Genomic DNA, 17,241 nt, shown 5'->3' with positions numbered 1-17,241 from the left:
TTCATATATTCCTTGGGGGTCTTGACAGGGACCAACCTCTTGAAGTGATAGGTTTTTAAGTTACTGGCCTAGAATTTAGTCTGTATTTTGAGAATCAGCTGTGAAGAAACTTAGGGGTACTTGGAGTAAAATTTTGACTCTGGTTAGTTCATTCCTGTGTACTAAGAAATACTTCTTGTTAGAGAAGCATTCTGAATATGTTTTAATATGGGTGGGATGTTATTCCATTTTTAGTGGGAATGAGAAATGTACTACAAACTTTTTAGCTCATTGAGACACCTCTTCAGTTGAAAAACAATTAGCAGTTTGTTAGGAAAGGGACATTTTCAATTTTAACTTACGTTCCTCTGTCTGCTTCGTTGGGGGACAAAACAGGAATCTATGGTATTTTATTCCATGGGAATTGATCTTCCGTATTCCAAATTGTCCTTTTATTTATTTGGGTTTTCTAGACCAGGGGTTAGTAAAAAAAACTGCTGCCACTGGGCTGGATCTGGCCTGCTGCCTGTTTTTGTAGATGGAGTTTTTTTGTGGCACAACCACACCCATTTTCACCTGCTTTCAAATTAGAACTGCAGAGTTGAGTAATTGCCACAGAAGTCCGTATGGCTCACAAAGCTGAAAATATGGACTATCTAGACCTTTATAGAAAAAGTTTGCCAGATTTTAGTAGAATGTGTTAAAAATAAATTTATAGGACATTTTGTTACCCTAAAATTTGTCCGTTTTTCTTTTTTTTTTTTTTTTTGAGACGGAGTCTCGCTCTGTCGCCCAGGCTGGAGCGCAGTGGCGGGATCTCGGCTCACTGCAAGCTCTGCCTCCCGGGTTCACGCCATTCTCCTGCCTCAGCCTCCCAAGTAGCTGGGACTACAGGCGCCCGCCACTACGCCCGGCATATTTTTGTATTTTTAGTAGAGACGGGGTTTCACCGTTTTAGCCGGGATGGTCTCGATCTCCTGACCTCGTGATCCGCCCGCTTCGGCCTCCCAATTGTCCGTTTTTCATGCCTTTTCTTTCCCATCTAACTTCCCACTCTACCAGCTTTTCTTGTGCAATTGCTATTGTTGTTTTTCTCACGTATTTGTTTTTAATGGCTTTTCTGAGATCTATTTGGAGACTGTTTCTGCCAAGTTTTCTATCTACTACATCTTCTCCTCATACATAAGGCTTCTGCGTACCATAGATATGAAATAATGTACATTTTTTACCTTCATCTGAGTGAAATAGGATTAAGATAAATATGCTACCAAAATATTATATGATATATAATCTCATAAAATTGACCATTATAACCATTTTTAAGTGTACAACTTACAAATTGTACTTAAGTGAAGTGTACTTTAAGTGAACTTACAAGTTCAGTGGCATTAAGTTCATTGACATTGTTGTACAACCGTTATCATCAATCCTCAGAACTTTTTCATTTTGCAAAGTGGAAACTCCACCCTGTGAACAATAACTCTTCATTTCCCCCACCCCTCTCCACCCACCACTGCCATCACCTGGCAGCCACCATTCTACTTTCTGTCCCTTTGTATTTGACTGCTCTGGGTACCTCATACACATGTCGTCTTACAGTATTTGTCTTTTTGTGACTGGCTTAGTTCATTTAGCGTAACATCTTCAAGCTTCAGCCATCTTGTAGCGTGTGTCGGTTTCCCTCCTTTTTAACGCTGAACAATATTCCATGTGTGTGTGCCACAGTTTATTTATCCATTCATCCCTGGGCACTTGGGTTGCTTTCCACAGCATTGTTATGAGTAATGCTGCTGTGAGCAGCTAGTGTTTACAAATAGAGTGGAAATATATCACATGCATTAAACATATGTATAGTCACTTCTGCTAGCTAGGCAAATAAAAAGAAAAGCAAATTTAAATAGTTCAGATGATCCTTCTACCATTCTTTCAATAGATGTACACTCTGCGTATCTCATCCGATATAATCTTTACTACAGTCTGAGAAGGAAGGAATGCATAAAGAAAATAAAATACCTACTAGGGTAATTATCTTGCAAGTCCATGCTGGAACTGCCTGCTGGGTCTGTTAGGGTCACAGCCTGTATCTTCTTAACCACTGTGTACACTGTTTCCCTGATCAAGAGGAAAGGGCACACAAAAATTGAGTAATGACTTTATTTATGTTTTATTTATTTATTTATTTTTGAGATGGAGTCTCGCTCTGTCGCCCAGGCTAGAGTGTGGTGGCTCAGTCTCGGCTGACTCCAACCTCCACCTCCCGGGTTCAAGCGATTTTCCTGCCTCACCCTCCTGAGTAGCTGGGATTACACAGGCATGGACCACCACGCCGGGATAATTTTTGTATTTTTAGTGGAGACAGGGTTTCACCATGTTGGCCAGGCTGGTCTCAAACTCCTGACCTCAGGTCATCCGCCGGCCTCAGCCTCCCAAAGTGCTGGGATTATAGGCGTGAGCCACCATGCCCAGCCTAAGAGTAATGACTTTAAAGAATAGCAATAAATAAAGGGATGCATCTCTACTGCACAGAAGTAATAAATGAAGTTGTTTAAAAAAAAAAAAAAGCTAAAGGAACAATATAAAGTGAGTCCTTTATATTTGATCTTTATTGGATCAGGGCCCTATTTAGTGAATTACGCAGAGGAAGTCTGTAAGAAAACTCGTGGGCTCCGTAAACAAGAAGTGGGCGTAGACTTCCCTCAAGCAGTGTTCCAGAACTTGGGTGGTCTTGTTGTGACTGGTGTCATCCCACCAGTTACCATGGCTGGTCAGGCAGGTCTGGCTGGCTAGGTAAGTGCTCCTTCCTTCCTCCTTTCCCAACCCAGCTGTATGTGATCTTCTGAGCAAAAGGACCATCTTGCTACATGGAGGAGTACTCTTGTCACTTAAACATGAACTCTAGAGTTCTGCTGCTGTGACGCCTCAGAAGCCTCAGGTCCAATCTGAATTGATGGTCCAGTTCCAAGTCTTCACTCAGAAAAATCTGGATCATGAAAAAAATCTTGAGGTGGGAATTTCTTGTGCCCTTCAAGAAGTGTGATAAAGCCAGGGGAGTCCAAGAAGCAGGTGCACTGTAGAACTAGCTGGGCCAGAAGCACCCATGGCTGGTGGACACATTAGCTCTCAGGCTATTCACTGGAAATGAAGCAATTTCTTAACAGCCTTTATTTAGTGATTTGCATCTTAGAGAAAAGCAATAAATGGAATCCCACTCTGTCACCCAGGGCGGAGTGCCGTGGCATGATTTCGGCTCGCTGCAACCTCCGCTTCCCAAGTTCAAGCAATTCTCTTGCCTCAGCCTCCCGAGTAGCTGGGATTACAGGCTCATGCCACCATGCCTGGCTAATTTTTGTATTTTTAGTAGAGACAGGATTTTACCATGTTGGCCAGGGTGGTCTCAAACTCCTGACCTCTGATCCGCCCATCTTGGTCTCCCAAAGTGCTAGGATTACAGGCGTGAGCCACTGTGCCCAGCTGTAGTCCTCTTTATAACCATGTACCAAAGGCATGTGCTGCAATTGTTGCTTTTATTTAATTGTTGCTTTTGTTATAAAAGTACTTGCTTTTAGTCCAGTCATAGAACCTAGTATTTAGATAACAGTTTTTACAGTGTCTGTGATGAGAGAGCCAGTGTTAGAGTGGGAGGACTGTACTGGAACAGAAATTTTTATTCTAGTTCGGTCTGTGGCCTTGGGCAAGTCACTTAATCTGTTCAAGGTCATTTCCTTTATTTCTTCCAGGGCTTTTTCAGCTCTGAAACTGGACGGAGGATTTATCACAGCATCTCTTAGCCTCCTGGGAGAGAACTTAGCTGCTGGGTGTGAGAGAAGCAGGACACAGGGCAGGATGCGGGCTTTGTGGGTGTGGGTGGAGGAACCCTGTGGGCAGAGACTGGATGTGCTTGTGGACGTGTGCAGATTTCTCTGGCTTGCTGTCGTCAACCTCCCCTTCGGCTGCCGCAGTCCAAGTTCACTGAGAACTTCTCTTTATATCCTAGATGCTGTCTCCTCGTGACTCATCTTCCTTCTTCACAGATACCTCCTCTGCCTTCCTGCATGGACAGGTCTGTCTTGCCTTGATCAGGCAGATCTCAGGAAGTTCCAATCAGGAAGCAGCTTTAGTTTCCCCACTGTTGCCCTCCGTCACGCTGTGACAGCGTGTCTTCCCGGGACGACTGCCTTCAACCTGGCAGAACTCCTTGCTTTCTGGACACTTTTGGTTATTGGAACTGCTATTAAAGGTTCATTGCAGTCCAGAACAAAATATCACTCTCTCCAATTTACATGCTTTCGCCCTCTACCCAGCTCAAGTTTGCCAAGCCCCTCTCCTTGCCTATTCACCCTGTTAGTTTTCCCAGTAGCCACTCAGGGAGGAGGAGTAAGACAAGAGAAACTGGAGTTTTGCTTATTGGGAATTGTTTGTTGGTCTATCATTGTTGGCCTCTCTTGGCTGCTTGCAATGAGGATGTATGTCCAGGTTCCAGCTCTCCTTATGCCATCCTTTTTTCAGAGACATCCCCTCGATTTTAGGAAACTCTGTACTTTGCTGTTCCCTGATGTGGGTTATAAACTCTCTGGCTGCCCTTTTGCACCACCTGCCTGCCCCAAAGCTTTTGATCCCAGAAGCATTCCCTCGAGATTCAGACTTCTCTGCCTTTCCTTCCTCCACCCTTTTTCATCAGGGACCTTTCAAGATGTCTCAAGGCCAGCTGTCTTCCTGGTAGCTTCCTGGGTACCTCTTGCTCCAGGGGAAGGCATATCCATGGGTTACTCTGTTCTGGAGGTACAGGATGTGTTCACTGCCCTCCTCACTTTCAGCCAGGGACCTCGGGAAGCCTCCCACATTCAGTCCCTCCTGCACATGTCCAAAATGCTGGGCTCAGGAACAAGAGCTCCCTTGTGCCCCTGGGGTGTAACATGAAACAGCTGCCATTGGGCTTTGATGGGCAGAGGTGCCAGTTATTTAATATAGACTGTGAGGCTTTACTTGAAGGACAGTTTCATGGCAGGAGAGAAATTGTCAGGTTCTATTGGACCAAAAAAACCCAAAAACCCACAAAGCTCTGTTTTAAAGTGAATTGTGAGCATCTGGGGAGAAAAAAAATCCTAAAGAAATCAAACACTTTGTGGCACTGTTCCCAGCAGAGGGTGCTCTAGAATGAAGATTGTGAAAATGCATCATCCCTTTAGAAAGGATTAAGGAAAAAATGCCCAGCTTCTTTGTGATTATCTCCCTAAATCCTATATTGAGAACCTAATTCTGTTATACCTAATTCTTGAAAAGTTTTTTTTTCAAAAGTAATCCTGAATCTTAGTATCTGTTGTGTCTCCATAAGCCATTTTTATATGTTCACCTGTGAACCCTAGTAATTAAAAACATATGTATTACACATATATTAACATATAAAGTGTGTTGCCTGATGCTTGACTTATAGTAGGCATGCAGTGAATGTTAATTTCCTTACTCTTCCCATGTCCCCTGTGGAAGTTCATGCACATGAAGACCAGCAGGGTCTCACCTTCCAGAACAGACACAGAAAAGTCCAGTGGTGTTCCTGGTGGGGGGTCCCTGCCTCCTCTGCCCCTTGCTGGTTGGCTGTTTTTGACTTGGACCAGTAATTGCTCAGTAGCCCTCTTCCCAGTTGGCACAGTCCATATTTATTCCCCAAGTACTTAGCCCTTGCCTTGTGTCCACCACTGTTTCATTAGCACTGCCTTATGTGATAATATTCACCGTGCTGATAAGCACACAGGAAAATCTCAGCAGCATGGTTGGGAAGGCAGAAAAGTCAGAAAGCCAAGCTAGAGACGTGGATGTGAGTAAAGCAAGAAGGCTGTGCCGCTCTTCATACATAAAACAATCCTGCAGAAGAGAGTTGTTTTTAGTAGACATGTTGGATTTGTTGATCAATCGCTTTTCTTACAGAACACTTGTTTTTCTCAGCAAGGAAGAAAATAAGACAAACCGTAGATACTTTCTTTGTGAGATGGAGTCTCGCTCTGTCGCCCAGGCTGGAGTGCAGTGGTGTGATCCTGGCTCCCTGCGACCTCCATCTCCTGGGTTCAAGCGATTCTCGTCCCTCAGCCTCCCGAGTAGTTGGGATTAAAGGCGTACGCCACCAAGCCCAGCTAATTTTTGTATTTTTAGTAGAGACGGGGTTTCACCATGTTGGCCAGGCTGGTCCTGAACTCCTCACCTCAAATGATTCGGCTGCCTCGGCCTCCCAAAGTGCTGGGATTACAGGCTTGAGCCACCACACCCAACCCCAACAGTAGATTGTTGAATAACCAAATTTATCAAACAGACAACCAGCTAACTTAGAAACAGTAGTGCCTATATCATGTCAAGTCCTACATTATTTATTTTATTTTGTACGTGTTTTGTTTTCTTAGAATTTTCTGTTTTATCAGTTTCTGGCATACCGAGCAACACAACACACAGTATTTGGATTGATTTCTTTTTTTCTTCTATTGCTGTTGTACCACACTGTACTGGGAAAGCTGGGTAACTTTATTTGTTAAAATTATTAATGCATACTCACATGTGCTTATGGCTCCCCTGTATGTCTGTTACTGGCATTGCCCCTTATTTTTATTACAAATCCATAAATGAGTTTCATATATGAAAAGTCATCATTGTAGGTGGTTAGTTTTAAAAGTTTTCCTAAGTGTTAGAAAAATAATATTAAAGGGATGTTGCCATGATTCACAACTATTATGAAAGGAATTCAAAAGATTTATATAAAATAAATTTGATAAAGTCTCCTGCTCTGAGAATAGCATGATTAACTCTCAAAGCTATTAAAATCCATTTTCACTCCTTTTGTTCATTTCCAGGACAATTTCAAGTGTCACTGCTTTTTAGAATGCTTTTTTTACGTGCAACTAATTCTTTTATTATAACATATAAAAGAAAATACCTTCCTCAGTTTGAAAGTGCATGTAGATTCAAATAATGAAAAAACTTTCTTTGCCTTTTTTTGGTTAGGTTCTAAGAGAAAAAAATTATACTAAAGAAATTTCATGGCCATGAAAATTTCCTTATTAATACACCACCACACGACTGGAGTGTAGTTGCTGTAGCATAAAATAGCTTTTGAGTTTTTCTTTGAAAATATGTTTGATGTAAGTCCACATATCCTGTATATATATAAATATTAGGTTTTGTGTTCTGTTGTTTTTAAGGACAAATTACTTCATACATAGTTAAATTATTGAGAGTTTAAAACATGAAATGCTTTTCTGTTAATTGTCTCTTAATATGAAGAAAGGCTTGTTTACTTTGGTCATTTGGAAAGCTCAGGTATTCTTTGCATTATATGGTATTGAGACTGAAAATAGCCAGATTCAGTTTAATATTAATAATATAGGTTTATTGTTTAAAATATATACCCATTTTCCAGAGAATTCCATATTGAGATGTTAGTATCTATTTCATACTTACCCTGAAGACTCATACATGTATGGTATGTATATGTGTGTATATATATGTGTGTGTACATATGTATGTGTGTGTGTAAAGCCTTCAAATGACCCAGTGGTAGAGCCGATGACCTTGTGAAGTGGAATTGTTTGATCAAGACTCTGGTCTGAGTGAATCACATCACACCTAGGTGAGGCATTAACTGAAGACATTTTGTAAAAACATTTATTTGGGACTAGATTCCCTTAAAAAGACTCCAGTTGCTACTTGTCCCTCTAAATTCTGTGATTTTTATAGGAGTTATTTTCCTGAATATGCTAAGTTGTCCGAATTACACGTTTATCAGACAAGTACATGTGAACCTAATAGAGTTAAGTATAAAATATGTATTTTATACATATACTCTAACAATTTGAACTATGTCTAGTGAGAGTTTTCTTGGACTTCCTTAGTGTAGCCTAGAACCACAGTATACACAGTAGAATTGTTAATGGATTAATGTGGCTTCTTTAATGAAACTATAAAATACAATACCCCCATACCTTATGTCCTACCTTTTGATAAATGTAAGTTAGAATGATAGCTGTTACTGGGTTTCGTCTTCAAAAGTAGAAGCCAAGACTTAAAAAGGTTTCCTCAGGCTAGCATAAAATATGCCAGGGTAAGAAATCACCAAGATGGAAGGGGAACACTTCTTTCCCCATTTTTCTGACCTCCCTGCCAAGGAATTTCATTGAATCTTGGTTTCTCAATGACTAGAAATGAGAGAGGTTGGGAGTTCACAGATTAGCTGACTCACAGCACAAAGCCACATTCTTAAGTGTGTACTTATTCAGCACTAAAGTTGAGATCTCGGTTCTCCATCTGTTGACTCTTGTTCTGTTTCTAGTTGATTCAGACCTGAGGCGGAGAGAAGTGAACTGTTTGTTGGGCCTGGCGAGGACACTGAGTGGAAGAACAGTGGCCGTGGGCTGTGTTGTACACACTGCATATTTACAGGATATTAGCGATGCCTTACATGCTGTCACAGATCAGTTTCCCTGGGAAGCAGACTCTGAGATAGAAATTTGTGTGCTAGAAGTTTGATGGGAGAGCTTTCAAAATCTCTGCCTGTGTGACGAACGATCGCAGCAGAGGGAGAACTTCAGCTGTGATGCAATCATCACAGAGGTGTCAGACAATCCTACAGGAACCCTCAAGCTAGGTGAGCCCTTCAGCATTGTCCTAACAGGAGGGAGAGGGGTCCAGGCCTTTATAAACCTACATTAACCAGTTGTCATATGTGGATGAACCCAAAAGAATGCATGACCTTGGGAGAGGTGCCATCTTCAACTTGAGGATGAGACCTGGAGAGATTCTCGTCTGAGAGCTGTCTGCTCCCAACACCCATCAGCTGGGAGATGAGGGCTTCAGCCCTAGAGGGCAGCCCAGCACAGCACCCACTACACATGCTGATGTCTGTCAGTGAGATATACACTTGAGAATGAATGTACGTACTTGAATATATGTTAAACATAGCTCTCTGTACCAGATAACATAAACCAGTGTAGCCTTTGAGTTTTAAGCATGGACAATTTCAAGAAACTAGGGGAATTCTACTTCTTTAATCATCATTTAGGAGTCATCACTTCCCAAAAGCCTTCTCAGAACTCATTTTTCCGTCCAGCTCACCACCCTGTAGATGCCCCTCTCTGGCACTCACATCATACATTGTACTTCTTGCTATTAATGTTCTACAACATGGCCTTTTCTGTGTGTGTCTGTATCCTTTAGTGTATCTGTCTCTCCCACCTGAGCATGAGTTCTTGAAGGTTCTAGCCTATTGATCTGTGTGTGCCTGAGCCTGATTCAGCAGCCAGCACTTGGTAGACTCTTGATAAATCTTGGGGGAATACACACCCCAGCTGTGGCTGCCCTGAATAGTGGACTGCAGTGGTTGATGGCACGTGTTAAATTGTGTCTTTGTTATGGGAGGTGAGAATTTGGCTGGGGACAGGAAGTTGACCGAAATTTTCCTATTAAGATCAGCCACTTCTGGTGATAGTAGCTTTGTCCAACCTCATCCACCTGGGCACAGGAATACACTTTTATGAAAAGGCTTTTGCCCTTGAGCCTGTGGTAGTTGACTCTTTTGGAGAACTGGGCTGGACCACCCAGAAGATCCATTTTACAATGACGAATGGCATAACCAAGTACCCTTAACCAAAGCAAGCTGAGTGACTTCCCCCTTTCATTGACGACCTTGATTCCACTCTGGTGGAAAGAGAAGTTAAATTCGAGGAAACTTTGCCAAGAAAGAGTAGCCAAGGCAAGGGGGAAGAGTGAATTACTCCCTGAAGCCTGGAGGTGAGTGCTCCTCCCACCTTCAGGAGACATGTCTTTCTGCCAGCCACCAGAGAAGAAGCATGGGGGTGTGGCTTTTGGCTGTTTTTTTAATAACCTCCCAGGTTTTGTCTGCTTATAGAAAATGAAAGGCTTAGTACCAGTGAATGACCAAATGTTATTTAGCCCATCTGTAGAATACCACACTCTCTCTACATCTAGATTTTTTCCTCTTTCCAAATATATTTATCAATACAGATGTTAGTACTTTCTTCTCTTTTAATATTTTCTAATTATATTTAATCAGTACTCTAAATATAATTCAACAGGTGACTTTGCAGAAGTAGACTGTCAGAGTAACCTACATATTAAAAATTGACAGTAATAAAAATGGTAAAGAGTTTTAACCTTGATGTTTATTGTTATGATTAGGAATGCAAGTAATGGATTTAATATCAGCAATGTAAATGTTTCATTTATAGTAATTCTTTTAATTTTGTTTTTGTTAATGTTTTATTTACATAAATGGTAGATTTTTATGAAGTTAAGTCATTTTTACTTAAGGAAAATTTGTTTAAAATAATATAGATTTAAAATAGAAGGAAGCCATGAAAGCACAAATTTAGGAATTTGTAAATTTAGGAATTATTTCATAATTGGTCAGGCTAATATTATTAGTTTTTGCAAAAGAAAAAATCAGTGCTTGCAAATCAGATTAATTGCTTCTGGAGAGCACAATTATTCTAGCTGGGATATCATTATCACTTAGAGAAAAAAAAAAAAAAACAGTATTGTTGAACCGGAATTCAAACTGTTCCACGAAGGCCTAATGGGCTCTTGGCTTGCCTGCTTTTCTACTTTTCTTTTTTTAAATCTGGCTTTTAGGAAAGTAACTTTATTCTGTTCACAGTCACATGCCCTCCACATCAACAGGATTTATGTCTTCCCCTCCCAATGATTTACAAAATTCATCTTTTAAATTGCCTTGAAATAGTCTGGGTGTGGGGCTGTCATTAAGTGTGTGTTGTTTAAATTTAAGTGGAAGAAGGTATATTTTTAGTCTGTACATTTTGGGGCAACAGTGACTTACAAATGATTTTGAGGCTTGTGACTTTGAGCATTTGAAAATGCAACGTTGTTTTCAGTTTAGCAAATTTTAGTGGCTATGGAGCAACTCCAGATTGTGATGAAGAGAATTATAATGAAGAGGACTGACTTAATTGGCGTTATAACAGCAATGTACCTTGGGACTGCCTGCTTCAGATTAAGTATAAACTGCTACAGCTATTTAGCACAGCTGGAAATGCTGAGAAAAACTCATTAGATGTGCTTGAGACAGCTGTCATCAAAGGTTTGGTGTGGTTCTTGCAGTGAATGTTACTGCCCTATCTTTCTGATGACTGAATCACTACAACTGAATTAGCCATCATTTATGATTGATGTAAGCTGTAAAGAGTCTGTGTTTATTTAAAGGACAAGAGAACAAAAGTATGAAGTAGTATTAATGATGTTGCTTTCAATTATATTAATAAGATTATAATTGTGAAGTTGTGGATAATCTTAATATAGGATGGTTTAAAAATAAGATGGAACCAAAATTCTGAACAGTTTTGTTAGCCATGTATATTAAAAGCTTAAGGATAATAGAATGTATAATTCCCAAATCAAAGAAGGAAAAATATAATACAAAGAGGAAAGACACCGGGGAAAGCAAGATAAATAAAAGGTTCAAAATTTAAAATGTGGAAGCCAGTACCTCAGCAATAAAAATTAGTGGATATGGAATACAGATTTTTAGATTGGATTTTAAAGACTAGATGTGTTCAAATTGTGTTCATTTGCAAGAGACTTGTTTAAGACATAATGATAGATTTTTGCTTCTGGACATGATGATATAACTGGTACTGGACTAGTCCTCCTGCTGTACACAGCTAGGAAACTATGCAAAATAGACAAAGCAGCTGTTTTCAGATATTGATCAATAGGCTGCCCCAGACTGATCCAGGAAAGAGGTAAATCCTACAGTTGCCCCAGCTTTCTGCCTGGAGTTATTTTTTGGCCTCTGGCACAAGGAGGAGGAGCTCAGAGTATCGTAGTCTCACTGAGCTAATGATCCAAAGATTGGAAATCAGGGAGACTGAAGCCACTGGAATTTGCAGGGCAGAATAACAAAAGGAGGGAACTGCCCACTAAGAGTTTCAGGTATCTGCCTTGGAATCCCCTCATGTTTTCGGCTAACTGTTAAGCAGTGTGTACGCTGACTGAGACTTTATGATTCAAGCTAAGAACTACTAGGGGGCTGTAAGCTGACAACTCCCAAAGGTTTAAAACAGCTGGGAGACGTTCACATTCTGACAAGTCAGAGGGGAAAGACTTTGTGAACACCCAGGGTATTCACTTAGACCTCAGAGAAGCTATGCCTTAGCAGTGGGGCTGTATACCTTACCCAACAAACCTTTGAAAACAAGTCTTGAATGGATCAAGCTGATCCGCCAATGAATTAACTGCCGCAAAATGTTTTGCAGGCAGACCAGAAAATAAAAGAAATCCAGACAACATTCAAAAGCCCAGAATCCAGTTAAAAAATAAATAGTTATTAAAAAAGAAGCAAAAAAAATGTGACTGATAGCCAAGAGGAAAAATAGTCAATAGAAACAGATCCAGAAATAACAGAGAGTAGAATTAACATATAAGGACTTATAAAAAGCTATCATAAAAAAATACTTTTTAGAGATCTTTACTAAGTGTTAATATAATGAACAAAGAAATAGAAAATATAAAAATGAACCACATACTCTTCTAGAGATAAAAAATAAAACTCTGAGATGAAAAATTATCTGTTTATAGCAGTTTAGATGCTATAAAAGAAAATGCAAAAGTTGAAGACAGGACAATCAAAACTAAACCACAAAGAGAAACTAAGACAAAAATGGACACATTTCATTGACCTGTGGAGCAGTACCAAGTTATGTAACAGTATGTATTTGAAGTTCTAGAATAGGGGTGAGAGGACAAAAAATATATACATGAGACACAAGTGGCCAAAAATGTTACAAATTTGATAAAATACAGAAATCAACAGATTCAGGAAGCTCAATTAATCTCAAGCAGGGTACTACATCAAAGCCTGTTACAGAATAATCAACGTTCAGAAAGCCAAAGATAACAAAATACTAAAAGCAGCCAGAGGAGAAAACACATATTGCATATAGGGAAACAAAGATAAGAAATGACACCAAATTCCCAGTGGAAACAGTGCAAGTCAGAAAACAGTGGAAAGATGCCTTCTTAATGGGGTTTACCTTGATTGCCATATTTAAAACTACAGCCTTGGCTGGGCGCAGTGGCACTTTGGGAGGCCAAGATGGGTGGATCACCTTGAGGTCAGAAGTTCAAGACCAGACTGACCAACATGGTGAAACTCCGTCTCTACTAAAAATACAAAAATTAGCTGAGCATGGTGGAAGGCATCTGTAATCCCAGCTACTCGGGAGGCTGAGGCAGGAGAATTGCTGGAACCCAGGAGGCAGAGATTGCAGGTTGGAGTGCCACTGCACTCCAGCCTGGGCTACAAGGTAAAACTCCGTCTCAAAAAAAAAAAAAAAAACTACAACCCGACCACCATATCCTGTCTCCCTTACTCAGACCTGTTCATGTTTTCCATGGCATTTATCATAATATACTACATAATTCCATATTTATGTATTCCTCTCTCTGAATAGATGTAACATTTTTTCTTGATTTGTTTACTGATGTACCTTTAATACCTAGAAAAATGTCTTGCACAAAATAACTGCTTAGCAAGTGTTTATTGAAGGAGCAAATGAAAGAATAACAGCTATTAGTCAGGGTTTACTAGAGAAAAGAGCTAATAGGATGTGTGTATGTATGTATATATATACATAGAGAGGATTTGTTTAAGGAATTGGCTCATGTGATTGTGGAGCCTTGGCAAGTCCTAACCCTGCAGGGTAGGCCCACAGGCTGGAGACTCAAGGAAGAGTTCTAGTTGAGTCCAAAGGCAGTTGGCTGGCTGAATCCCTCCTGTTCAGCAGAGGTCAGTGTTCTGTTAAGGCCATCAACTGATTGGATGAGTCCCACCCACATTATGGAGGGTGGTCCGCTTTACTCTAAGTCTGCTCATTTAAATGTAATCTTATCTTAAAAAAAAAAAAAAACTTCACAAACATCTAAACTAACATCCAAATATCTGGGCACTATGGCCTAGCCAGATTGACATATAAAATTAACCCTCATAATAAGGGTATGGAAGAACAGGAACTCTCATACGGTATTGCTAAGTAAGAGTGTAAGTTGGTACAACCACTTTGGAGAATAATTTGGCAACATCTCATAAAGTTGAATATGTGCATGTCCTACCACTGAGCAATTTTACTTCTAGTTATATACACTGGGAAGCATTTTAGGTCACAAACATGTTCAAGAAATTTTCTAAAGAAGTATGTAATAGTAAGAAAACAAATAATATAGATGTTTATGGGTAGGATGATGGATCAACTAATGGTGGTATATTTCTGGATTGTAATACTATACAGCAGTTAAAATGAATGAACTAGATTTACACATATCAACATGGACTAATTATAAAACATTGAATGAAAAAAATTAGTTGCAAAAGAATATGTATAGTTTGATACCACATTTTTTGTCAACTCAAAACAATAATACATTGTTTGTATTAGATTTTTTTATTAGGATTCTTTTTGCTACCTAACATTCTGCTGTTTATACTAACAAGGAAAGTCTCTGAGCCTAAGCCATTCATTTCTGAGATCTTGCAGTAGAAGGGACTAAAAATATGCATAAGCAGTTGTTCAGTAGAAACTTGTCAATGTGACCAGTGTGAACCATAGTGAATTTCTTGCGTCCATACCCATTTTGCTAATTCTTTTTTTTTTTTTTTTTTTGAGATGGAGTCTCACTCTGTTGCCCAGGCTGGAGTGCAGTGGCACCGTGTCAGCTCACTGCAACCTCCGTCTCCTGGGTTCAAGCAGTTCTCCTGCCTCAGTCTCCCGAGTAGCTGGGATTACAGGCGCCTACCACCACGCCTGGCTAATTTTTATATTTTTAGTAGAGACAGGGTTTCACCATGTTGGCCAGGCTGGTCTTGAACTCCTGACCTCAGGTGATCCACCCCCACTCGGCTTCCCAAAGTGCTGGGATTACAGGCGTGAACCACTGCGCCCGGCCCCATTTTGCTAATTTTTATTGAGAACAACAAACTTTAAATTATGCAACCCATGAGGAAACTTTAAAGTCAAGGATATTATATTCAAAATGATGGATTTCACATATTTTCAGTTTAAAGAATAGACTAGAAATTAAAATAAAAATTACATTGAAGTTATGACATTCAGTTACCTCTACTGATATTTTCAACTAAAATAATTCACTGTGTTTTGTTAAACTGTGATTATGGGTGAAATAAGATAAAATTGATGTTCATCTTTTTATTCAGATAACTTTCTTATCAGATCATGAGTTTGGGGCAGAGACACTGCCTTTGAAAATTAACCTTAATTTTTTAACTTAATATTCAATAATGTTCTCACAAAAATAAATTCTAATTAGTCCCCTGCACTATTTTTTTTTCTTTTTTAGTTATCTGATGATGGCCGCTATGTCTTGTTATCAATAAGGGAAGGATGTGATCCAGTAAACCGACTCTGGTACTGTGACCTACAGCAGGAATCCAGTGGCATCGCGGGTGAGTTATTTTTTCAGACACAGATAGTTATTCCAAGAAACTTCATTTAAAAAGTATTATTGTGGTCTATTAATTGATTTCCCAAGACCCTCTTCCATTCTACCACATCATGTCAGTTCATCTGATTTTTTTTCTTTTAGTACTATTCCATAAAATGAGGGAAAATGGAATGAAACTGTTGGCTTTAGCATTTTCTCTGTAGATTGAGATTAGCCATACTTTCTGCACATAGTGTGAAAATATCCCGTGAGTATTGCACATGAAGAGCGTGAAGGAGAAGCTGATCCTTTTGGTCTGTAACTATTTAGATTTAATGGTGCAGCCGGGCATAGTGGCATCATACCTGCAATCCTAGGGGCTCAGGAGGCTGAGGCAGGAAGACAGCTTGGGGCCAGGAGTTGGAGACCAGCCTGGGCAACATAGCCAGACCCTGTCTTTAAAATAAACAAAAAAGGCGTAATGTTGCAAACTGTCACAGGCAAGGGTTATTAGACCAATGGGAATTGGCTAGATTAACGTAATCAGTAGAGTGGCCCTCAGTACTTAGGAAAAGAACAGCCTGTGTTTGCTTGCCAAAGCCTTACATATCATGATAAGCATAGAACCAGCCAGTTACAAATTCTGGAGATGGCTTATTTTAAATGTTGTTCTCTTCCACCATCTCTATCATACCAGCACTATCATCAAGCACAAAAACTTTTCAGCTGCACAATTTACTATGCTGAAAATTCCCAGACCCAGAAATCCTATCAGACATACTGGCACCCCGATAAGGACAGACACTAAGCTAATTACATTATCTTCTAGTTAATGCAAAATAAATAATATTTTAGAGAGGGTTGACCTAGATTTTCAAAATACTAAGTGCATTTCTGTAATAATGTATTTACCTCATTATTAGTTTCTAATCTGTGTTACATTGTGATACGAAAATATTTGTCTGATTGAGCATCGCGCCATTTTTAAACTTCTCTGAGCAAGATCTGCATCCTAACATTAGATACTACAGAGCACCATTCACACACATATACCAGGGTGAAGTCAGCAACTTTTTTCCTAGAGTTAAATATATATCCATTTAATAAAACTGAGTATTTTTTTCTATTAAGAAAAAGAGATACATCCATCTTGGTGTCAAGAAACCAGCATTGGCCACATCAGTGTTTGCATTCTCTGTCAGGGCAAACCACCATCCAGGAATTGTTTGCGTGAGTTGCAAGCATAGGTCTTCATAGAACTGAGCAAACCTTTTAAGATTGAGCCTGAACGAATCAGTGACATCAGACATTATGGTGCTGTTATCCTGCACACATGTTCCAAATATAGAGAATAAAATTCTGTCCACATATTTATATACCAGACTGCTATTGCTATATCTGCTTTAATAAGGCGTAATAATATTTTGAGTGAAACTTTCAAGTGCTGGCAAAACTCATGGAAACCCTCTTTGTTTTCCCCCAACCTCTCGGTCCTTATCTTTCCCCTGCAACCCAGTTATTTTATTATTGCAGCGTTAGCATTTAGAAAAGAGAGTACTCAAGAGATTGGGATTCCAAAAGGAAGACAGTACAGAGGTGCACTAGGCTCTCAAAAACCAAATTCTAGATAGTGTAGCTAAGAATGAATATGAGGAAGAATAAAGGGGAGCATCTAAGAAACTCTTAATGGCCATGATCCATTCAGAGCTCCAGGGAAGCCTCAGCTCTGCTCTTAAGGCCTTCCAACTGATTGAGTCAGGCCCACTCAAATTATCCAGGATAATCTCTCTTCATTAAAGTCAATGGATTATGGGC

General features: G+C 39.8%; 1 protein-coding gene across 3 annotated transcripts in view, besides 1 other annotated feature; it reads left to right on the top strand.

Annotated features, from left to right (window-relative positions):
- The window catches only part of PREP (prolyl endopeptidase), a 129,865-nt gene that overhangs the window by 34,663 nt on the left and 77,961 nt on the right, over nt 1-17,241 (top strand). For all 3 annotated transcript variants that reach the window (NM_002726.5, XM_011535925.4, XM_005267044.4), the window contains exon 7: nt 15,343-15,448. In NM_002726.5, coding sequence (NP_002717.3) covers nt 15,343-15,448 — 106 coding nt within the window. The remainder of the gene's footprint in view (nt 1-15,342; nt 15,449-17,241) is intronic.
- Nucleotides 8,237-8,426: an enhancer, noted in NCBI's record as "active region_24868". NCBI's record gives its function as "activates an Ori minimal core promoter by ATAC-STARR-seq in GM12878 lymphoblastoid cells {active_cell/tissue: GM12878}" and the evidence as "EXISTENCE:reporter gene assay evidence [ECO:0000049][PMID:35858748]".

This window comes from Homo sapiens, chromosome 6 (assembly GCF_000001405.40).
Source record: "Homo sapiens chromosome 6, GRCh38.p14 Primary Assembly".
In the NCBI taxonomy this organism is placed as follows: Eukaryota; Metazoa; Chordata; class Mammalia; order Primates; family Hominidae; genus Homo; species Homo sapiens.
This window is presented reverse-complemented; position numbering and strand designations above follow the sequence as displayed.